Source organism: Homo sapiens, chromosome 11 (genome assembly GCF_000001405.40).
Source record: "Homo sapiens chromosome 11, GRCh38.p14 Primary Assembly".
NCBI classification, from domain to species: domain Eukaryota; kingdom Metazoa; phylum Chordata; class Mammalia; order Primates; family Hominidae; genus Homo; species Homo sapiens.
This window is the reverse complement of record NC_000011.10, coordinates 108047382-108072625: the sequence shown is the minus strand read 5'-3', so window position 1 is coordinate 108072625 and position 25244 is coordinate 108047382. Positions and strand designations below refer to the sequence as shown.

General features: G+C 38.3%; 1 protein-coding gene across 6 annotated transcripts in view; it reads right to left on the bottom strand.

Annotated features, from left to right (window-relative positions):
* The window catches only part of CUL5 (cullin 5), a 98864-nt gene that overhangs the window by 35136 nt on the left and 38484 nt on the right, over positions 1-25244 (bottom strand). For 3 of the 6 annotated variants that reach the window (NM_003478.6, XM_017018363.3, XM_011543013.3), the window contains exons 4-9: positions 22560-22736; positions 19825-19966; positions 17834-17979; positions 17671-17751; positions 2437-2530; positions 164-294 (exon numbers count right to left, since the gene is read on the bottom strand). In NM_003478.6, coding sequence (NP_003469.2) covers positions 164-294; positions 2437-2530; positions 17671-17751; positions 17834-17979; positions 19825-19966; positions 22560-22736 — 771 coding nt within the window. Of the gene's footprint in view, positions 1-163; positions 295-2436; positions 2531-11453; positions 11544-17670; positions 17752-17833; positions 17980-19824; positions 19967-22559; positions 22737-25244 lie in introns of those variants that run through there. The other 3 variants (XM_005271682.3, XM_047427640.1, XM_047427641.1) reach the window with 2 other exon arrangements.

Here is a 25244-nt window from a genome sequence, read left to right as displayed (position 1 = left end):
AAAACTTATTCTTCCTATTGAACTATAACTTTATACCCCACTAACCAACCTCTTCTGCTCCCCCAACCCCCAGCCTCTGGTAACCGCTCACTATTTTCAATAATCCTACATTTAAAAAATAGCCTTGATATATATCTATCATTGCCATTGAAAAAAAACTTACAGTAGTAATAGTTTCAGCAGCTGCTACCATATCTGCCAGGCCAGCACTAATGATATGTTCCTCCAAGTCTTTCAACATTGGCTCTATACCATTAGGAACTTTGTCCATCAATGAAAACATTAAATGTAATTCTGGAAGGAGAGAACACATTCATGTAATCATTTCATTTACTAGAGTAAGAGTTTAGAGAAACATTAGTTAAGTTTGTAATGTTAATAGTATTCTGTGGATACAATGCCATTAGGAGTAGTTGTTCGTTTTTTTGTTGTTGTTTTTTTGTTTTTGAGACAGGGTCCCAGTCTGTCACCCAAGCTGGAGTACAGTGGCTCGATCACGGCTCACTGCAGCCTTGACCTCTTGGGCGCAAGCAATCCTCCCATCTCAGCCTCCTGAGTAGCTGGGACCACAGGCACATGTCACCATGCCTGGCTAATGTTTTTTGTAATTTTGTAGAGACAGGGTCTCCCAATGTTGCCCAAGCTGGTCTCAAACTTCGGGGCTCACACAATCCTCTCGCCTTGGTCTCTCAAAGTGCTGGGATCATAGGTATGAGCCACTGTACTTAGTCTAAAAATTATGTTTAAAAAAAAATCGAATTAAAAGTGATCAGGCTGGGTGTGGTGGTTCACGCTTGTAACTCCAGCACTTTGGGAGGCCAAGGTGGGAGGATCATTTGAGCCCAGGAGTTAAAAAGACCAGTCAGGGCAACATGGCAAAACCCATCGTTACACAAAAACAAACAAACAAAATTAGCTGGGTGTGGTGGTGCATGTCTTTGGTCCCAGATACTTGGGAGGCTGAAGTGTGAGGAATGCCTAAGCCCAGGAGGCTGAGGCTGCAGTGAGCCGTGATTGCACCATTGCACTCAGCCTGGGTGACAGGGCAAGACGGTCTCAAAAAATAAAAATAAAAAAAGTGATCAAATACTGCAAAACCCAACTCCTTTCTTTAAAAGGTCAGTCATTTGGCCAGAAGCAGTGGAGATCAGCCTGGGCAACAAGGTGGGGCTCTGCCTCTACAAAAAATACAAAAATTAGCCAGGCATGGTGGTACACGGCTGTAGTCCCAGCTACTCAGTGGGCTGGGAGGTGGGAGGATCGCTTGAGCCCAGGAGGTCAAGGCTACAGTGAATTGTGATCGTGCCATCGAATTCCAGGTTGGGCAACACAGCGAGACCCAGTCTCAAAAGAAAAGGTGAGTCATTTGGTTTTCAGTGCAAAGGAATATTTATTTACACACAAGATTAGTTTATTTCATAAGGTAGTTGTAATACTACATATACAGCCATATCATCAAAAGGTAAAAAACATGAGTAATAATTACGAAAGCAACTATATTAGAGATTAGAATATAAAACTGTATTCATAAATAATTTTTCAATTTACAAAGCACTTTTTCATGTTATGCCATTTTATTGACCTTCACAAAAACCCTACCTCACGGTACTGATTACCACTAAATAAATCCTTTTGAAAAGAGTGCAACATAGATCAGACATAACTCTAATTAGACTGGCACACAGAATACAAGTATTTTGTTTACGCCAATAAAGCAGCTTGCTTTTTACTACTGAATTACTCCTAAAAAGTGTATGAACTTAAGTGAATTGAAATATGCACTTTAAATGCAACTAGAGATTAAACAGGACCTTGCAGTTAGATATAATAAAACCTGGAAACTCAGTAGAAGTACGTTATTTAAAAAACAAAAGCAAAAAAATGTTAAAAGCAGTTTTACTGGGGTAGTAGGTATATGTACAATTTTTTTTTTTAGTTTGTTATATACTTGCTACCTCTCAAAACACATCTTTTTAAGAAAACATTGAAGTAATAAAAAAATCCTTTAGAAATCTTATAAAGTATTTTGGGGGACAGAGATGACTATTAACAGGGAGTGTTTTATTACATTCTAAAAAGATTCATCACAAGGTTCCACACAAAAGTCAAATACCTGGTTCTAATCTATAACATATGTTTCCAGTTTAAACTGGCCTTTAAAAGCAGTGTCTTGCTTTTGAGAAAAAAGTAGAAATTCACCATACACATACACAGATGTTGATAGCTAAGAGGGAAAATGCTTAAAATTTAAGTTTATATACTCTTAGCAGTGCCTCTGTGTTAAATATTTTATCTATTTCCTTAAGTATAGTTCACTCTAACAGTTCCACATATACCTATGTGGAAAAGAATTAACTAAGAGCAACTTAGTAAGTGATTTGTTTCAAAGATACCCTCTTAGAAGATTATGATAACTTTATGTGATGTTTTACCTACTTTCAGTTTCATTTCTCTTGATCATGCCTTGGCACTCAGCTAAGATAGTCTCTTTAAATGATGTCACCAGGGCATTTACACAGCATTCCATGAGCTGAAATATATCAAAAATTAGTCAAGGCTACTATAAGCTGTATAGCACAAATCTATTCTAACTCACAAAATAAAACAATATTGTTCAACAAAAAAAAAATTATACTGAAAGTAGATTTCACTTACCTTAACTATAGGATTATTGAAGATGGATATGCTATACTAGTTTACCAAAGTGTATTTTCCCCTAAGGAAAAAAACTATAGAACTAGACTCTCTTTAGAAATTTTAACAAAAGTCCTCAAGGAGGGGAGAGAAAAATATACAAAACCAAACTTTGATTAACTCTTCCTGTCTGGAGAGAACCTGTTTTAAAATTAGGTTATAAAATTCTAGAAGTGTGAATACATTCATTCAACAAACCATTATTGGATGCCTACTACGTGCAGGCACTAAGGAAGTATTTAAGAGACAAGAATAAGATATAATTCCTGCTCTCGAAGAGATCACTGTCTAATTGAGAGTGAGGAGGGCAGTAAACCTACACTGCTAACTAAATATAACTCAGTTAAGTGGCATCACACACATACACAAACACACACAAAATAAAAAAAAACTTAGAAACTACTTTTTTCTAGGGTAGTTAAAATGGCCTCATCCACAAGTTGGTATCTAAATGGGATCCTGTAAAGTAAGTACAAGCCCTAAAATAGGTTACGTATTCTAGGAATACCAGGAAGCTTAAAATGGTAGAGAAGAAACAGACAGTGGAAGAGAAGGCTAGAAAGATAGGCTGCAACCAGATTATGAATGAAAATCTATGATTTGGGGTTTTATTTCATAGGTAGGGAAGGAAGAACAAAGGAAGGTTTTTTTGTTTGTTTAAGAGACAGAGTCTTGCTCTGCTGCCCAAGCTGGAGTACAGTGGCATTACTACATAGCTACTATCATACCTCACTACAGCCTTGAACTCCTAGGCTCAAGTGATCCTCCTGCCTCAGCCTCTTGAGTAGCTAGGACTACAGGGATGTACTATCAAGTCTGGTTAATTTTTTAAACTTTTCTGTAGAGATGATGTCTTGCTATGTTCCCCAGGCTGGTCACAAACTCCTGGTCTCACATGATCCCCCTGTCAGTCTCCCAAAGTGTGGGATTACAGGTGTGAACCATCAGGCCTGGCCCCAAGGAAGTTTTAAACAGAGGATAAATGTAATGAGATTCTCCTCTCCTCAAGTCATTATTAAAGATCAGTATAATGGTAGTAAGGCAGGTGGTAAGGAGTGGGTGGTTGGGATATGGTAACGAGGCTGTTGAACTATTTCAGGTAAGATAGCAAGGGTCTAGTGCTCTAGGAGGCCATCAGGAAAATCTAAATGAGGCAGAAGATATCATGTCATCTCTGCTCCCTCGTGTCATGTAATTATTTACTTCTCTTTTGGGGATCAGATGAAATTAATAGGTTGTGAGGACTAAAGTTAAGTACAATAAGGCTGATATATTTCTTCTGAAAAACAAATCATCTATCTGTAAATTAAGGGAGGCAATTATGTGTCCCTTAAAAATTTTTTATTAAAAATTCCTTTGGAATTGACATAATGTTGGTAACTACTAAAGCTGAATTTAGGTAATGGGGATTCATTATACTGTTCTTCCTACATTGTAAAAATGCTTAAAATTTTCCGAATAAAGAATTTTCTGTGGTCCCTGCGAGTTGGGGGGCTGAGGTGGGAGGGTCAGTTAAGCTCAGGAGGTCAAGGCTGCAGTAAGCCTTGATCATGTCACTGCAGTGTAGTCTGGGCGACAGAGCAAGACTGTCACAAAACAAAACAAAACAAAACAAAAAAAAAGGTTTTTTCAGGCTCCTCTACAAGAATGATGCTGATGACTTTTAAATGCATATATCCATGTATATTTCTGTCCTAAGAAAATAATACACATGGCTGGGCGTGGTGGCTCATAGCCTATAATCCCAGCACTTTGGGAGGCTAAGGCGGGCGGATCACCTGAGGTCAGGAGTTCAAGACCAGCCTGACCAACACAGAGAAACCCCATCTCTACTAAAAATTAGCCGGGCATGGTGGGTGCCTGTAATCCCAGCTACTCGGGAGGCTGAGGCAGGAGAATTGCTTAAACCTGGGAGGCAGAGATTGCAGTGAGCCGAGATCGTGCCATTGCACTCCAGCCTGGGCAACAAGAGCAAAACTCCGTCTCAAAAAAGGAAAAAAAAAAGAAAAATAAAGAAAAGACTACACATATAAAATGGTTAAGAAACTCTTTCCTTGCAAGGTGGAAATCTCTGCCCCAACTGCTGAGTAATCTTATTCTATAACATCACTGGAATAGGCCCAACTAAACACTTCCACCTTAAGCAGTGAAACCAGATTGAGCATAGGTAAATCTAACAATATATAACTAATAGAGAACAAAGACAAAGTGGAATCCTAATAAACTCTAAGCTCTGTGTTTTCTATTTCATTGAAAACTTTCACTTGAACATTATCCTGTTCAGTGGTAGTTGAAATTTTGCAGATTCTAAAAATCCAGACCAGTGTGTTTCAGACTGTATGTTGTGAAATCAGTTTTAATGGCTGTGACCAGGTTTAAAAAAAAAAAAAATGTACATAGGACAGAACAAAAAATATCAGAGTGTATCACATATTGTAACAATGAATATTATTTCATAAGACTTTTGTTTCAGATATGTACAAATAAACAGTATATTCTAAGCCACAATATAAAATGTATTTCTTATGGTGGGTTACAACGAGGATTAAAAGGAGAGCTAAATTGACAACATAATTAAAGTAAACTGAGAAGAATTTGGTAAATGCTTAAATGAAAGGGATTAGGGAAATAAAAGGATGTTGAATCCATTTCTAGCTTGAGAGGTTAAACAAATTATTATAACAGGTATCCTTTAATGGGCACTTACTTTGTACCAGGCATTATGCTAAATGCTTTACATATAGATCTCATTTAACCCACATGGCAACCTCATGAGGCAGATACTTACTTTATGAGGACATAGACTGAGAGTAGCCACATAACTTCCAAATGTTGCACAGTTGGTTCATAAGGTCTTGAGTTATAATTTGAGGCCAGGTATGTATCTCCATAGCCTCCAACTTTTCTTACTACAGAAGTAGAGCATGTACATACTTAGTGATGGCTACATGCTCAGAACTGAGTTACGTGTTTTAAGGAATAGAGAAGTATAAACATGGTTCATGCCCTCAATGATCTTACAATCCAGTTGGAAACCCATAAACTATATACCTAAAAACATGTGTATGGTTCATATGTACAGATGTGTATGAAAAGAAGATCTTCACTAATAAGCAAATAACTGGAAAATGCATCATTACTATACTATAAACTTAAGGACAAAGATTGTGCTCTGTCCACAGCTATAAAGACTGTGCTGTGTCCTGGCACACAGCTGGTGCTTGATAAGAAATACAAGGCAGTCTATAATTTGCTCCTAAACCTAGTGGTAGAAACAATAGTTACCACGGGAATTCAAATAGGAAGAAACTGATGAAGGCTAGATGATCTGAGCTACTTTATTACAATTTTATTACAAGGTGAGTTAAAAGAATCCTTGCAAGATTTTGGGTAGGCAGAAGAAAACACTGCTAAAATGAATCCAAAAAAAAAAGTAACAGAGTGAGTTGTATGAATAAAAAAATATTTCTTATTGGAGTAGAGTGACTCTTGCTGGACAATATTAAGTTAGAAAAATAGGTTAGGGTCAAATTATGAAGGGTCTTAAAAATCAGGGGTATGAAATAATGATACTCTGGTTTTTTTTTTGAGACAGAGTCTCGCTCTGTCGCCCAGGCTGGAGTGCAGTGGCGTGATCTTGGCTCACTGCAAGCTCTGCCTCCTGGGTTCACACCATTTCTCCCGCCTCAGCCTCCTGAGTACTGGGACAGCAGGCATCCACCACCACGCCTGGCTAAGTTTGTTTTTGTATTTTTAGTAGAAACAGGGTTTCACCGTGTTAGCCAGGATGGTCTTGATCTCCTGACCTTGTGATCTGCCTGCCTCAGCCTCCCAAAGTGCTGGGATTAGAGGCGTGAGCCACCACGGCCAGCCAGTACTCTAGTTTTTGAATAGAAAAGTAAAACAATAAAAGTGATGTTTATGAAAGATTATCCTGAATTCACAAAAGAATAAATACAAATGGTCAGGAATAAGAATAAATATGCAGACCAGGCTGGACAACATAGTGAGACCCTGTTTCTAAAAAAAATAATAAAAAATAGAGGAGTGGAGCAAGATGGCCAAATAGAAGCTTCCACCGATCATTCCTCCTGCAGGAACACCAAATTTAACAACTATCTACACACAAAAAAACACCTTCATAAGAACCAAAAATCAGGTGGGCACTCATAGTACCTGGTTTTAACTTCATGTCACTGCAAGAGGCACTGAAGAGGGTAGGAAAGATAGTCTTGAATCGCCAATGTTACCCCTCCCTCATCCCCCAGCAGCAGCTGTATGGCATGGAGAATCTGTGTGCTTGGGAGAGGGAGAGAGCAGCAACTGTGAGATACTGCATTGAACTCACCACCACCCTTTCACAGCAGAAAGCAAAAGTAGGATGAACTCAGCTGACACATGCCCATGGAGGGAGCATTTAGACCAGCCCTAGACAGAGGGGAATCGCCCATTCCAGTGGTAAGGACTTGAGTTCTAGCAAGCCTCGCACTATAAGCTAAAGTACTCTGGGGCTCCAAATAAACTTGAAAGGCAGTCTAGGCCACAAGGACTGTAACTTCTAGGCAAGCAATAACAAATAATGAGATAGAAGCCATAATAAAATTTCTCCCAACAGGTGCAGTGGCTCATGCCTGTAATCCCAGCACTTTGCCAGGCAGAGGTGGGCAGATCATGAGGTCAGGAGAGAGACCATCCTGGCTAACATGGTGAAACCCCATCTCTACTAAAAATACAAAAAATTAGCCGGGTGTGGTGGCGGGCGCCTGTAGTCCCAGCTACTTGGGAGGCTGAGGCAGGAAAATGGTGTGAACCCAGGAGGCGGAGCTTGCAGTGAGCCGAGATCATGCCACTGCACTCCAGCCTGGGTGACAGAGCAAGACTCCGTCTCAAAAAAAAATTAATTAATTAATTAAATAAATAAAATGAAATAAAATTTCTCCCAACAAAGAAAAGCCTGGCACCTGATGGCTTCACTGCTGAATCCTACCAAATATTTCAAGTAGAACTAATATCAATTCTACTCAAACTGTCTGAAAAATAGAGGAGGAGGGAATACTTCCAAACTCATTCTATGAGGCCAGTATTGCCCTAATACCAAAAGCAGACAAAGACACATTTTAAAAAGAAAACTACAGGCCAATATCACTGATGAATATTGATGCAAAAATCCTCAACAAAATACTAGCAAACCAAATTTTTGTTTTGTTTTGTTTTTGTTTTTTGAGACAGAGTATCACTCTGTTGCCCAGGCTGCAATGCAGTGGCATGATCTTGGCTCACTGCAAGCTCCACCTCCCAAGTTCAAGCAACTCTCCTGCCTTAGCCTCCCGAGTAGCTGGGATTACGGGCACCTGACACCTCGCCCGCTAATTTTTGTATTTTTTTTAGTAGAGATGGGGTTTCACCATGTTGGCCAGGCTGGTCTCAAACTTCTGACCTCAAGTGATCCACCTGCCTTGGCCTCCTAATGTGCTGGGATTACAGGCGTGAGCCACTGAGCCCAGACTAGCAAACCAAATTTACCAACACCTTAAAGAAATCATTCATCATGACCAAGTGGGATTTATCCGTGGATGCAAGGATGGTTCAACATACACAAATTGATCAAATGATACATCACATCAACAGAATGGCAGACAAAATCCGTATGTTCATTTCAATTGATGCTGAAAAAGCATCTGATAAAATTCAACATTCCTGCATGATACAAACCATCAAAACACTGGGTATAGAACGAACATACCTCAACATAATAAAAGCCACATGAGAGACCCGTAGCTAGTATCATACTGAATGGAGAAAAACTAAAAATCTTTCTTCTAAGATCTCAAACATGACAAGGATGCCCACTGTCACCACTTTTATTCAAAATAATACTGGAAGTTGTAGTTAGAGGAATCAGACAAGAGAAAGAAAGAGCATCCAAATTGGAAAGGAAGATGTCAAACTACGCTTGTTTGCAGATGATATTACCTACAACGAGACATCATCTCATCCCAGTTAAAGTAGCTTTTATCTATAAGACAGGCAATAACAAATATTGGTGAGAATGTGTAGAAAAAGGAACCCTCGTATAATGATGGTGGGAATGTAATATTAGTACAAGCACTATGGAGCAGTTTGGAGGTTCCTCAAAAAACTAATACAGAGCTACCTTATGATCCAGCAATCCCACTGCTGGCTATATACCAAAAAGAATGGAAATGAGCATAGGAAGAAAGGAAGAGATAGATGCACTTCCACGTTTACTGCAGCACTATTTATTTATTTTTTTTAAATTTTATTAATTTTATTATTTATTAAATTTTATTATCATTATACTTTAAATTTTATTATTATTATAAAATTAACATTAAATTTTATTATTATTATACTTTAAGTTTTAGGGTACATGTGCACAACGTGCAGGTTTGTTACATATGTATACATGTATTGCAGCACTACTTATAATCAAGATTTGGAAGGAACCTTACTGTCCACCAACAAATGAATGGATAATGAAAATGTACATAAACACAATGGAGTACTATTCAGCCATAAAAAAAGAATGAGATCCTGCCATTTGCAACAACATGGATGAAACTGGAGAACACTGTGTTAGGTGAAATAAGCCAGGAACAGAAAGACGAACTTCACACGATCTCACTCATTTGTGGAAGCTAAAAATTAAAACAATTGAACTCATGGAAATAGAGAGTAAAGGATAGTTGCCAGATGCTGGGTAGGGTAGTGAGGTGGTGGGGGAGAAATAGGGATGGTTAATGGGTACAAAAAAACCAGAATGAATAGTCGGGTGCAGTGGCTCACACCTGTAATCCCAGCACTTTGGGAGGCTGAGCCAGGTGGATTGCCTGAGGTCAGGAGTTCGAGACCAGCCTGACCAACATGGAGAAACCCCATCTCTACTAAAAATACAAAATTAGCCGGGCGTGGTGGTGCATGCCTGTAATCCCAGCTACTTGGGAGGCTGAGGCAGAAGAATCACTTGAACCCAGGAGGCGGAGGTTGCGGTGAGCTGAGATCCCGCCACAGCACTCCAGCCTGGGTGGGCAACAAGAGCAAAACTCCGTCTCAAAACAAAACAAAAACAAAAACAAAAACAGAATGAATAAAACATAGTATTTGATAACATAACAGGGTGACTACAGTAAAAAATAATTTAATTTTATGTTTAAAAATAATAAAAGAATATAATTGGATTGTCTGTAACACAAAGGATAAATGCCTGAGGTGATTGATACCATTTGCCCTGATGTGATTATCATGCGTTGCATGCCTGTATCAAAATGTCTCATGTAACCCATAAATACATACAACTACATACACCATGTATGTATGCACAAAATATTTTATATTTATAAAATAAATATTTAATTATTTATAATTTTATATATTTATAATTATATTTAATATTTACAATTATTAATATTCATTAATTTTTAAATGCACACAAAAAATATTTTAAAATCTATGATACTGGCAGATTGGTAGGAATCAATAGACTGACAAAACTCAGATCAGCAACGATATGGATAAACAAGCACACTGTTGATGGGACTACATTCCTGAAAGTCAGTTTGGTATTTATTGTGTAGCAATTTGTAAAAGGTTCAGGGACTTTTACCTCAGCTATCTAATTTCCAGGAGATTCTATTCCAAGAGGAAGCCAAGTGTGAGAAAAGATGTATACACAAGGATGTTAAAAAGATAGAGGTATTTAAGGATATTCCAGAAAGCACTATTTATAAGAAATAAACTATAAACAATGAAAATGGTCATCATTAGAGAACTGGTTAGTAATACTACAGTGCATATAGGTTACATTATAATATAGATTGTGATATGCTTTGGCTCTGTATCCCCAGCCAAATTTCATCTCGAATTGTAATTCCCACGTGTTGAGACAGGGACCTGGTGGGAGGTGATTGGATCAGCAAGGTTTCCCCCATGCTGTTCTTGTGACAGGGAATTCTCAAAATCTGATGGTTTTAAAAGTGGCAGTTTCTCCTGCACATTCTCTCTCTCTCTCTCTCTCTCCTGCTGCCACATAAGATGTGCCTTGCCTCCCCTTTGCCTTCTGCCATGATTTTAAGTTTCCTGAGGACTCCCAGGCCATGTGGAACTGGTTCAACTAAACCTCTTTCCTTTACAAATTACTCAGTCTCAGGTAGTTATCTTTATAGCAGTGTGAAAATGGACTAATACAATGTGTGTGGAGTAAAAATGAGCAACATCATAAATTTATTTTTAAATATAGGAATGCAGGAGGGAAGGGAGGCAAAACGGGGAGGGAAATAGAGAGGAAGGAATGGAAAAGAAAGGAAAACAAACAGAAGGATCAACAAAACAAGCATGACAAAATAATGATAACTGTTGAATCTGGAAGACTGGGTATGGGGGTAGCGTTCATTATAGTATTTTCTCTACTTGTGTAAATATTTTAAAACTTTCATTACAAAGCTTTTTTAAAAAATGAAGAGAACAATTATGGTATAGATTTCTATATATTAAAAAATCCTCCAGAAAATTATTTTACCTAGGCAAAAAGTAGGGAGATTGCTAGATAGAATTCTCTCCTTATTTCAAATGAGTCTTGTCCTAAGAGAGTCAGTTTCTTGAGGACAGAGATCATGTTATTCCTCTTTTGTATTTCTTCCCATTTACCAAATTACTATATACATAGTTGATCCTAAATATATAACTTGTTATTTGAAAATACATCTTGAATGGAAAGTATAGTGATAAGCCATCTCTCTCACCTTGTATTCCCTTTCTGTCTCCTTTTGCTAGATTCCGTGAAGAAAAAAACTTTTTGCCATATGCCATCAACTCCTGTATGTTTGCCTGAGATGAGCACAACTTCTAAATCCATAGCAATCTCTCCCCAGAGGTCTGCAAGGTGAAACACTTTAACTATCAATGTGCTTGATGTTTTAACCTCCTCTACAGCAAGACTATAAACTCTTCAAAAATAATGCCTGCTATAAAACACAGCAGGCACTCCAATAAGTACCTGTTGAATGAATGAATTCATAGGTCTGGAAAATGAAAGGTGAGACAGGTAGGCTACGAGACATGGTAGATTCTTATTCTTTTTTTTTTTGAGACAGTTTCACTCGTTGCCCAAGCTGGAGTGCAATGGCGCGATCTCACTGCAACCTCCGCCTCCCGGGTTCAAGCGATTCTCCTGCCTCAGCCTCCCGAGTAGCTGAGATTACAGGCACGCACCACCATGCCCGGGTAATTTTTTGTATTTTTAGTAGAAACAGGGCTTTACCATGTTAGCCAGGCTGGTCTTGAACTCCTGACCTCAGGTGATCCACCCGCCTCGGCCTCCTAAAGTGCTGGGATTAGAGGCGTGGGCCACGGCATCCAGCCAGATTCTTCTTTTAGTGGTATTCAATTTGCATAATTATTTCTACCTCGCTCAAATTTCGTTTAAAAAAAAAAGCATTTCTGATTTTCATTAGTTATATAGCTCTGTATAAGGAATAGTTTGCTTTGCCTCAGCTACAACGTAAGAGTTGAACTAAAAATTATCTTAAGTTCCCCCACTTTATGATTCTACTCTATCATTATCAGGCCCTTAACCATACAAGGATATCTGTAATGTATTCAATAATTAATTTCCTGGCCTTTCTAGTTTGACTAAGATTCTTTCTGTACTACTATCATTAGTGGCACTACAAAAGTCTGGATCACCTTGTCTTTTTGAACACCAAGCTTAATTTTTTTTTTTAATTTTAGACCTCCTCTGTGGAGAGGATACCATGCCTGAAATACCAAAATACTGAAGGTTAATAAGTGCTTATTTTAATGTTAATAATTTATAACTTGTGACCTAGTTGCTTATTCAGCTTTTTAAATCAGTTTTGCACAGATGGTAAAATAGTTTTTACTTGTCTTAGAATTAGTAAGCAGTTTTCTCTGAACCAGTGCCTAACAGTAAAAGCTATCATGCCAGGCACAGTGCTCAAATGCTTAATGTAACATATTTCATTTAATTCTGCTAATACAAAAGGGTATTATTCAATTTTTTTTTTTTTTTTAGACAGAGTCTCGCTCTGTCACCCAGGCTGGAGCGCAATGGTGTGATCTCTCCTTACTGCAACCTCCGCCTCCTGGGTTCAAGCGATTCTCCTGCCTCAGCCTCCCGAGTAGCTGAGATTACAGGTGCGTGCCACCACGCCCAACTAATTTTTTTGTATTTTTTTTTTAGTAGAGACAGGGTTTCACCGTGTTGGCCAGGCTGGTCTTGAACTCCTGACCTCATGATCCACCCATCTCGGCCTCCCTAAGTGCTGGGATTGCAGGCGTGAGCCACCGCGCCCGGCCTATTCCATTTTATAGTTAGGAAAAGAGAGACTACAAAGGTTGAATAACTTGCCAAAACGCAGACAGCTGGTAAAATAACATCTGTGGGATTCAAATCCTCATCTAATTCCAACATGTATGACCCTAACCACTGTAATACACTCCCTCCCTATCGGTGCCCTGGTCATTCTGAAGTGATCAAGACTTACACTACCAATTCACTTTTCTATTCCTCTATTGTATAAACAATCCATTTTATTCTAGTGTCATCCTGAGGATAGGGACTAGGTCTATCTTATTATCCCCAACTAGCATAATGCCTGACACACTGTGGGTATATAATAAATACTAATTGAATTTCCCCAGGAAATACTAAGGTATGCAGGACTATCACCTAAAAACTAAAAACCAAACACAAATTTTAAGTCATTTTGGCTTAAAGCTGGGTGTGGTTGCATGCGCCTACTGTCCCAGCAACTCAGGAGGCTGAGGTGGGAAGACTGCTGAAGGCCAGGAATTCGAGAATGCAGTGCACTATGATCAAACCTGTGAACAGCCACTGCACTCCAGCCTGGGCAACATAGCGAGACTCTGCCTCTTAAAACACAAAAGGCATTTGGCTTAATTTTTTTTCTTGCTCTTTTCTTATGGTTGTGTTACTTTTTGCTGTCAACATGCCTGTTCAGCAGCACAGCTCGGAAGCCTCTTACCTTGTTTTACATTAAATACATTCAATACATTTCTGTTCATCTGCTATAGGCCCAGCGAGTGATAATCAAGCTTATTAGAATTGTATGTAAAATCAGATCTAAGTAGGGTCTAAGTGGCTCTCCTATAAGTAAAAATAAAACTGTAAGAGTAGGGCTTCAGACATCTAATGCAACACTTAACTGTCTCAGATCTTCACAAGGCTAGTTCCCTATCATTCAGGTCTTAACTCCAATATCATTCCCTCAGAGATCTTTTCTGACCATATTCCATAAAGTAAAAGCAGCAGGAGAAGCATTACCACCACCAATACACTCTATAGTATTACTCTTACTTCATTTAAAAAAAAAAAAATCACTTTGGGCCGGGTGCAGTGGCTCACGTCTGTAATCCCAGCACTTTGGGAGGCCGCCGCGGGCAGATCACGAAGTCAGGAGATCAAGACCATCCTGGCTAACACGGTGAAACCCTGTCTCTACTAAAAATACAAAAAATTAGCCGGGTGTGGTGGTGGGCACCTGTAGTCCCAGCTACTCGGGAGGCTGAGGCATGAGAATCACATGAACCTGGGAAGCAGAGGTTGCAGTGAGCGGAGACTGCACTACTGCACTCTAGCCTGGGTGACACATCAGGGCTATGTTTCAAAAAAAAAAAAAAAAAAAAAGGCACTCTTCATAATATTCTTTTTTTTTTTTTTTTTTGAGACAGAGTCTTGCTCTATCGCCCAGGCTGGAGTGTGGTGGCGCAATCTCGGCTCACTGCAACCTCTGCCTCCCAGGTTCAAGAGATTCTCCTGCCTCAGCCTCCTGAGTAGCTGGGATTACAGGTGCACGCCACCACGTCCGGCTAATTTTTGTATTTTTAGTAGAGACAGGGTTTCACCATGTAGGTCAGGCTGGTCTTGAACTCCTGACCACATGATCTGCCTGCCTTGGCCTCCCAAAGTGCTGGGATTACAGGCGTGAGCCACTGCACCCAGCCAATATTCTTTATTTTTTCAACTTCTTTGATTAATGATTACAGAAAAGTTAGCAGAAAAATAGCACCTCACTTCTCCCAACATTAACATCTTACATAACTATAGTACAACTATCAAAACCAGGAAAATAGTATTGGTACGATACTATCAATTTAACTCTAGGTCTTATTCATTTCACCAGTTTTTCCACTAATATCCTTCTCCTATTCCAGGATCCTATCCACAAGCCCATGTTGCATATAGTTGTAATTTCTCCTACTCTCATACAATCTGTGGCAGTTCCTTTGTCCTTCAGTCTGTTACAGTCTTGACACCTTGAAGAATATTAGTCATTTTGTAGGCTATCAATTTGCGATTGTTTAATCTTTCCTCATTATTACAGTAAGATTACACATTTTTGGCAAGAGTAAAACAGAAATAATATTGTATTCTTCTTAGTGCATCATATCACGGGGTATGTCAGCATGTCCTACTACTGGTGATGTTCACCTTGATCACTTAATTAAGATGGTGTCTTCAGGCTTCTCCTTTAGTAAATATCTTGGGGACGATACTTTGAAACTATGCAAATATCCTATTTCATTTCAAACTTTTGACCGTTACTGCCAAGTGCCGTGGCTCGTGCCTGTAATCCTAGCACTCTGGGAGGTCGAGGTGGGAGAACTGCTCGAGCCCAGGAGTTTGAGACAAGCCTTACCAACATAGTGAGACGTGATCTCAAAAAATAAAAAATTAGCCAGGTGTAGTGGCACGTACCTGTAGTCCCAGCTACTCTGGACTTATTCTTTTAGTTGGCCTTTTACAGTTGAAAGTTCATAAGTTTAATGTGGCTATGATATGACTAACATACAAATTGCAGTAGGAGATCAGAACAATTTCACCTTATAAAACTGTAACATTCCCATCCAGGTGCTAAATGTACGTCAATCTACAACAAATACCCAAATCCTCCAAAATGAACTCATCCTTTCTCCCTCACTAAGACTTATTTTTATACCTAATCTCTCAGTAGCAGCACAGTTCTCCTTGGCTGAAACCTCAGAACATTATTGGCTTGATTCTCTGTGATATCTAGCCCCATCCATGTGATACAATGTTCCACCTCTAAGAAGTTTCTCTCTTCCCTTGTCTTTTCCATTCCCACTTCTGTAACTCTACTTGGTCTGCCTAATACCTTGCCTGAATTACTGCAAATGCTTTCTACTTCTTATTCCCAGCTCCTCCCCATTCCAGTCTTCCATCTTTCCTGTCACCAGATTAATCTTCCTAAGGGACAACTCTGTGGCCCACCTGTTTAAAAAAAAAGTCAACAGCCTTCCCGGCCTTCTGAATGTAGCCCAAACCTGAATTTATATCACTATAAAGAACTTCTATAAATAACCACTAAATTATCCTTCCTTTTGCCAATATCAAAACTATTTCAACCAAAGAGGATACATACTGCAAATCAAGGACAAGCAAAACAAAAACTAAAAGAACCAAAGGGAAAAGACATCCAACTCGGTGTGATTTCTGAACAAAGAATAAAATAAACACGACTACCACTTAAGATGGACAAAGCCAAAGAAAAGTCAAAAGTAAAAAAAAATTTTAAATCCCATTCAGAGTTGAAAAATATTTGATTATGGGCAAGCTAGAATGTTATTCCTGAGAATGCAAATCTAAATCAAGGCTCCAAAGACTGAAAGGAACCAGAGGAAATACTATTGTTGTGTTTCAACAATTCCAAGACTGTCCCAACTAGATTCTAACTTTCCTTATACTGAAGCACCCTAAGGTCAGTCCTCCACGTAAAAGAAAACACCTACCATGGTACTGTCACTGACTAGTTTTTTGTTTTTTAATATTTTGAGGCCAGGTATTGTGGCTCATGCCCATAATCCCAGCATTTTGGGAGGCTGAGCAAGAAGGATTGCTTGAGGCCAGGAGTTCAAAACCAGCCTGGGCTACATAGCAAGACCTGCTCTCTATGAAAAATAAAATAAAAAAATTAGCCAGGTGGCCGGGTGCAGTGGCTCACGCCTGTAATCCCAACACTCTGGGAGGCCAAGGCAGGTGGATCACCTGAGCTTAGGCGTTCAAGATCAGCCTGGGCAGCAAGGTGAAACCCCATCTCTACTAAAAATAAAAAAATTAGCCAGGCATGGTGGCATGCGCTTGTAGTCCCAGCTACTTGGGAGGCTGAGGCAGGAGAACTGCTTGAGCCTGAGAGGCAGAGGTTGCAGTGAGCCGAGATTGCACCACTGCACTCCAGCCTGGGCAACAGAGAGAGCCCTTGTCTCAAAAAAAAAAGATAAAGTATATATATATATATATTTATTAGTCAGGCAGGGTGACGTGTGCCTGTAGTCCCAGCTACTTAGGAGGCTGAGGCAGGAGGGGCCCTTATGCCCAGGAGTTACAGTGAGGTATAATTGCACCACTGCACTCCACCCTAGGCAACAGAGCAAGACTTTGTTTCTAAAAATAATAATAATTAATATTTTTACCTCATGACAAATGAAGTTTGAAACATCTTCCCAGAAGGAGAAGAAATATCCCCTAGGAATAAATGATTCATTATTCACTAATTTGGTGTTTGCAGCCACTTCAGAGAACATAACCGGTACAAAAAAAGAGAGTCAACTGTATCCCTAAGGGAGCATATATTACTTGCAACATGAAAATCACAAAATGGCTAACTTTAGATATGCATAAAACATAATAAAAGAAAACTTACCAAAAATTAATTATATTAAATAAAGTCTAGAACAGGTATGGCAAATAGATTTGATCTTGCATACCAGCTCCAAAGGACAATGTGTTCTAAACAAGATACCTCCTACAAAGTTGTGCTATGGCTCATAGGCAAAAAGAACTAAAATCAATTAACAATGTTGGTTGTTAAATAATATTATTTATGTTGTTTATTTGCCATTCCTATGCTTCCGTATTTCAAATAATCCCATAAAATGTACAATTACAAAATTACTTACTGCTTCAACGGAGTTACATTCTCGTCTTGTTTCTAAATAACGTAGTGCTCGTTTTTCTTCTTCTTTTAATTTAGCATCTGCCTGTCCAGAAGCAAAATAGCAATCATTTTAAGAATATCAAGGGAATTGCTCAAATTATCACATATACTAAGTTCTAACTTACATATTTCATATAATTCTGTACACCATTTTGTTGTAAATACGAGGGTGCTTGTGTTCTATAAAATCTCTCTGTTGAATCCAAGTATGCCTTCTCAAAATTGTCCCTATAAATTTGAAGTTTATCCTCAGGATTAGAACAAAGGTTAACTGAAAAACAGAAAATAAAGTATTACTCCAATTATGATCAAAATCAGTATTTTGAGTATAATAAATGAAATAAATATTGAGGAGTCATTATGTGCAAGGTAACAATGCTCAAGAGAACATATAATTATATAAGACAAAATCCTTCTCCATAAGAAACTTATAAAGATAACAGCATAAAGCAGTAAAGTAACAAATAAATAATACAGATAATATAGACTATTTTTGCATAGGTAAGAAACTGACTTCTAACTGAATAATCAAGAAAACATTCACAGAAGCAATGGGATTTAAACTGAATCTTAAAGAATAAACTAGAATTTGCATAAACGGAGATTAGTAAGGTAAGTAAATATTCAGAAGCAGAAAAGCACAAGAAAATATGACTAGGTTGTCTAAGTGGATTGCAAGGTTAATAGAAGGTAAGGTAGAATGGTAAATTACAAATGGTTGTGAAGATGCCCTGGGCAACATAGTAAAATCATGTGTCTACAGAAAAATTAAGCCTGCACACAATGGCTCACACTTGTAATCCCAGCACTGCGGGAGGCCAAGGTGGGCAGATTACTTGAGGTCAGGAGTTCAAGACCAGCCTGGCCACTATGGCAAAACCCCGTCTCTACTAAAAATACAAACATTAGCTGGGAGTGATGGCACACACCTGTAATCTCAGCTATTCTGGAGGCTGAGGTATGAAAATTGCTTGAACTTGGGAAGTGGAGGTTGCAGCGAGCATGCCACTGCACTTCAGCCTGGGTGACAGAGTGAGACTCTGTCTCAAAAAAAGAAAAAAAAAGAAACAAATTAGCCAGGTGTGGTGGTGCATGCCTGCAGTCCCAGCTACTCAGGACACTGAGATAGGAGGACTGCTTAAGCCTGAGAGGTGGAGGCTCAATGAGCCATGATCACGCCACTGCACTCCAGCTTGGGCAACAGAGCAAAACCCCATCTCTTAAAAAAAAAAAAAAAAAGCATGGTATACCACTTAAGGGGTAAGTAGAAAAAATACCAATAAAATAGTGCTTAAACATTAATCTTATGAACACCATATGGGTTAAACAACAGCAATAAGATGATTATAAGACGACTATTTCAAAACTCTGCATGTGAAGTTTAATGTCTGGTGGCAGTTCAATTAAAAACAAATTTCAGGAGCACTGCTAATGAAAATCTAAAGGCTTGATAACTAAAAGAATATGGGGGCCATGAAGAAAAGCCAGTCAAAAGTAACTCTATAGGTTCATTAACTCAATAAATACCTACCTAGAGTGATTTTGTGCCATGCATTCTATGTTCAGTAAAGACATGGTGCTAACAACACAATTAAACAAAAGTACTATGCCAAGGAGGCACAGGTACTGTGAAGCACTAAATGAGAGAAGTTAACTTACTCTGGGAATTAAGAAAGGCCTCCAGGAGGAGGATGAAGCGTGGGGAAGAAGCATACTCTAAGTCACAGGAAACAAATTAGAAGTAAGAGAGAATGTACTCCTACATGCTCTCCTTTTCATGGAAGTAACTTACTTCCTGAAAACATAAATACCTAACCTTTTAATGAACTAGTTACCTTTTATGAGCTACACATTCAAATTTATATATCTAATTTAGTTCACTAAAACGACTTGCCAAGAAATTAATGGCATGAAGAAAATATTAACCACATTAATATGAATTTTTATACATTCTTTTAAGCAGAATTATCATTTGCTTACTCTCAAAAAAAGTATCTAGTACAAAAAGTAGATGTAACTTTGTATGCCAATAAACTTAACTTTGATTGTGCTATTCCATAATTGTTCTACAATTTCCATGAAACAGAAATTATGATCATAAAAGTTCAGAACATACCATAGGATTCTCTTACTCCAATAACCAGCTGAGAATCAAAAGCTTCTCCCAATCTCTCAGCATGTACCAGCTTCATTGCACTATCTTGGAGTCTGTTTTTTATGTTTGAAAAGATTGACTCATTCCATGTATCAAGCATAAGCTAGGAAAACAAGAACAAATTGTAACATAATTTTCAATTATTAATATACAAAGTATCATGTACAAACACCAAAAAAGGAAATCAAATTTGTAGGCCTGGGCCAGGTGCAGTGGCTCACGCCTGTAGTCCCAACAATTTGGGAGGCCGAGGCAGGTGGATCGCTGGAGTCTATGAGTTCAAGACCAGCCTGGGCAGCAGGGCAAAATCCTGTCTCTACAAAAAAATACAAAAAAAATAGCCCAGTGTGGTGGTGCACGCCTGTAGTCCCAGTGAGCCGAGACCACGCCACTGCCCTCCAGCCTGGGTGACAGAGTAAGACCCTGTCTCAAAATAACTTAGGTTGCATTCACTTGAATACTTCGGGGAAGCAGTATATTTAGCATAATGGTAAAGAAGGGTCGACTGCGTGTGGTCTAATCCCAAAACCTTGGGAGGCCAAGGTGGGAGGATCACTTGAGGCCAGGAGTTTGAGACCAGCCTCGGCAACACAGTAAGACCCATCTCAACAACAACAAAAAATACAAAAATTTGCTAGGCATGCTGGCATGTGCCTGTAGTCCCAGCTACTTGGGAGGCTGAGGTGGGAGGATCACTTAAGTCCAGGAGGGCAAGGCTGCAGCAAGCCAAGATCACACTATTCCACTCTAGCCTGGGCAACACAGCAAGAGCCCATTTCAAACAAAACAAAAGTAAATAAAGAACAAGTGTTTCAGAATCCAACTGGATTTGAATCCCAGCTGTTACTTATTTATCTGCTTTCTTATGTATAAAATGGTCAAAATAATAGTGCAAATTTCAGTGGTTGTAAAAATTAACTATGATAATACATGGAAAATGTTTATTCTCCTATAGTTCCATGGTTGAATTTCAGATATATTGGTGTGTTTGAAATAGACATATGCATATGTTTGTAAAGACACATAAAAAATGTAAAAAGGACCAACTGAAAATCTGATACTGGACCTTATAAAAGGTCTGCAAATCTACTGTTTAGATGTTCCATTAAAATGATAAAAATGGTATATAAACATTGGTGATTATATCAGTACTCCAAGAAACTTGGTCAGATGTAGGAGATACATTAATGACAGCAACAATAACAACAAGAGTTAACAGTTTTATAACACTCATTCTATACCTGGGACTGCTCTATGTATTGTCTGCATGTAACTCATTTAATCCTCATAATCTTGATATAGGTACTATGATTATCCCCCCTTTAGATATGTGAAACCTGGGGTACAGATAGCAAAGCTAACTTTCCACATTTATGCACCTCATCAGTGGCAACACTGAGATTTGAATCCAAAAACTGTGGCCCCAGAATTGATACACTTAATCACTAAGTGGATGCTGCTTCCCACAACCAATAGAATGGCCAAAAAAAGAGGACAAGATTATGAGACTACAAATTAAATCGCAGCCAGAAGTGTTTTTCACTTTTTTTTTTCCCTTGGCACAAATTTCCCATATTGCAGTGATTTCTATCACTGAAGAACCACTGGGTATCTAAATTTACAGTATCCCTGTCAACATCAGATCAAATTTTAAGGCTGGGATGGGGCAACAATGCCCAGGTTACACTATTGTAATGCCTGAGTGTTTTACTGTAACCATCACAGTAAACAGTAAATTGACTAAAGTTCAAATGGCATTTTTTACTTTTCAAATCTACGGTCCCATTTTATTCTTACAAGTGGAAAGATATATGGAAAATGAGGACGGAGTTTGAAGAGCTGAAAGGGAAACCTAGGACCCTTCATATTCAGCACTGAGTTCTTTCCATTAAATCATGACTGGTTACTTGACACAATTTTTAAATAGAAAATAAGCACAGTATATACTGAATTTATAATAGAAGAGTTAAGTAAAAGGGAAATTATAAAGATAGCAGTTTAGCCACAATTAAACATAAAGATATCAGAAGGTAACCTAATAAAAGGGGATTTTTGAGACAGGGAGAAAAGTAATTTAATTTCTAGTAAGGGTATAGGTTGGGTGCAGTGGCTCACGCCTGTAATTCCAACAGTTTCGGAGGCTGAGGCAGGCAGATCACCTGAGGTCAGGAGTTCGAGACGAGCCTGGCCAACATGGTGAAACCTGGTCTCCACTAAAAATACAATAAAATAGCCGGGTGTGGTAGCACGTGCCTGTAGTCCCAGCTACTCAGGAGGCTGAGGCAGGAGAATTGCTTGAACACAGGAGGCGGAGGTTGCAGTGAGCAGACTGCGCCACTGCACACTCCAGCCTAGGCGACAGAGTGACACTCCAGTTTAAAAAAAAAAAAAGAGTACAAAGAAAGAATAGAGAAATAAAATACTGAATACCAGGAGAAGGAGAAAGTAAAAAGGAAAAGTAAAGGAGATAATGGTTGAAGATGCAGATCTATAGCTTAAGACCACATAAAAAGATGAAAGAAGATTGAAGCTAAAGACAAAAAAGAATATTATTCAATAAAATCTAGTTAAGAGCTGAAAAGCAATTGACATGTGAAGTAGAAAAACCCACTTAAAAGTTCAAATTACTTTCAAATGCTTCCAAATTACCCTCTTTCTGAAGAATATTAGGAAAACAAGGAGAAAAATAGTCTTACCTTTCGAACAATACTGTCTTCCACATTTGATTTTTTATTGCTGCCCTGTTTACCCATTAAAGTAATCTCTAGTTGACAAAAAGGTTTTGGTAAAATATCACATTGTGTAAAGAACTTTCGCCATTCAACAATATATGCTTTTAGCAAAGCCGTATCATCTTGATGGCTCAGTACTCGCTGAAAAAAAGAGGTGTACCAATTTGAAATAAATGCAGTTGCTTTGAAAAATTAAGAACATATTCATGCCAAAATTTAAATTGTACATAATTTTTAAATTATTGTACAAGCTCTTATATCCAAAAGAAATTAAAACATGTTCACAAAAAAACTTGTACACGAATGTTCACAGCAGCATTATTCAAAATAGATAAAAAATAGAAACAACCCAAATATCCATTAGCTGAAATACGGATAAACAATATATGGGCCAGGCGTGGTGGCTCATACAGTAGTCCCAGCACTTTGGGAGGCTGAGGCGGGAGGATTGCTTGAGCTCAGGAATTTGAGACCAACCTGGGCAACATAGCAAGACCTCATCTCCACAAATAATACAAAAAATTAGCTGGGTGTGTTGGTGCGTGCCTGTGGTCCCAGCTACTTAGGAGGTTGAGGTGGGAGGATTGCTTGAGCCCCAGCAGTTGAGGCTACAGTGAGCCATGATTGCACCACTGCACTCTGGCCTGGGCGACAGAGCAATACCCTGGCTTGAAAAAAAACTAAACAAATGAAAAAAGAAACCAAAAAACCCCACAATATATGGTATATCCAAACAATAGATATTATTCAGCCATAAAGAGAAACAAATATTGTGAAAGAAAACTAGTCACAAAAGGCCACATATTATGATTCCAATTACAGAAAATGTCAAATATAGACATATCCATAGGGACAACAGATTAGTGATTTAGTGGGTTGGGAGAAGGGAGTGACTGTTCATAGGTATAGGATTTCTTTTTAGGGTGATGAAAATATTCTGGGATTATTGGGTGATGGTTGCACAATTTTATGAAATATACTACAACCCACTGAATCATATCCTTTAAGAGAGTAAATTTTATGGTATATTAATTATATCTCAAGTTTTTAAAAGGTGGTGGAGTCACGGCAGGTGCGGTGGCTCATGCCTGTAATCCCAGCACTTTGGGAGGCTAAGGCGGGCAGATCACGAGGTCATGAGTTTGAGACCAGCTTGACCAACATGGTGAAACCCCATCTCTACTAAAAATACAAAAATTAGCCAGGCATGGTGGCATGCGCCTGTAATCTCAGCTGCTCGGGAGGCTGAGGCAGGAGAATCGCTTGAATCCAGGAGGCGGAGGTTGTAGTGAGCCGAGATCGCGCTACTGCACTGCAGCCTGGGCGACAAAGTGAGAATCCACCTCAAAAAAAAAAAAAAAAAAAAAAAAAAAAAAAAAAAAGGTGGTGGAGTCTATTTCCCCACTATTAGAGTTTGGGCTGGTCCTGTGATTTACTTTGACCAACAGAATGCCACCGATGTAACAGTGAAAGATTTCTCAGTCTATCCATGAATAGGTATTGTAGATTCCACTTTCATCTCAAAGGCTGGTCTCCTTGAGAATGACAAACCACACAGTGAAAAGAAAGCCACATCAAAAACCATATATGAGTTTTAATGCTCTCTTAGACCACCATGTCCAACAGCCCACTGCTGCTGCATTAATAAGCTTAGGCAAATTCATCTGAGACCAGCCCAAATTGCTAAGCCACAGAATTGTGAACAAATAAAACAGTTGTGTTAATCTAGGTTAAACAAAAAAGACTCCACCTATGTTTATTATTTTTACTTTTTTTTTTGTTCTTTAAAAAATGTTATAAACATTTCAATGCATATTGCCTTTCAACCATCTGGGAGATTTGGTCCTTCCTAACAAGGTATGTTCAACTGAAGATTGCCTAAGTAAAATGATTCATGAAAAAAAAAAAAAAATTTCTTAAGCGTTTAAAAATCTTTTTAAGATGGGTCTTTTTAAGACCCATGTCTGGCATTGCTACTCCTATTAACTGCTCAGAATTAGTGGTGCTAAATCCCATTCTTGGGTTCTTGCTGAGGTCTACATTTCCAGACTTTATTCAGTCATGTTACCGTGAAACCCTCCCCTACTTTTTTTTGCCAGTGTTCAGCATATTTTTTAACATCTGTTAAGAACATCCAAGGTAATTCTTCATAAGTTTATTTCCAGAAACTGAAGAATAAAGCTCTATCTATCTGAAATAAACATAATTTATCTTTATCAAGTCATAAAAAGAAAACGTGGTACATTTCCCAATGCAAGTAGAAACTGTATCTCTAAATTAGTTCTAAGAAAATAGTTTTAAATTGATACTGAAACATTTAATTTTCTAAGTGCTTGAAAACAGATTTTCATTAAAAGATAACTTCCTATAAAACTACAATTTAAAAAATTTGTCAAGAAACTATCAATAAAACACTTAATTTCTTAAGTAATATCCAATAGATTAGTCTTACTCCATCATGGTAGTGGCTACTAGCAAAATTAAAATATATGCCAATCATATACTTGATTTCAATATCTTAAGTCATACATAGAAAAAACTCAGTTTTAATTTTCAACTGCTAAGCACCTTTTAGTATTTAATAACACGATTTAACAAACAACTTTTACTAATGTTGTACAAGACATTAATGGAATGATCCAACTAAAA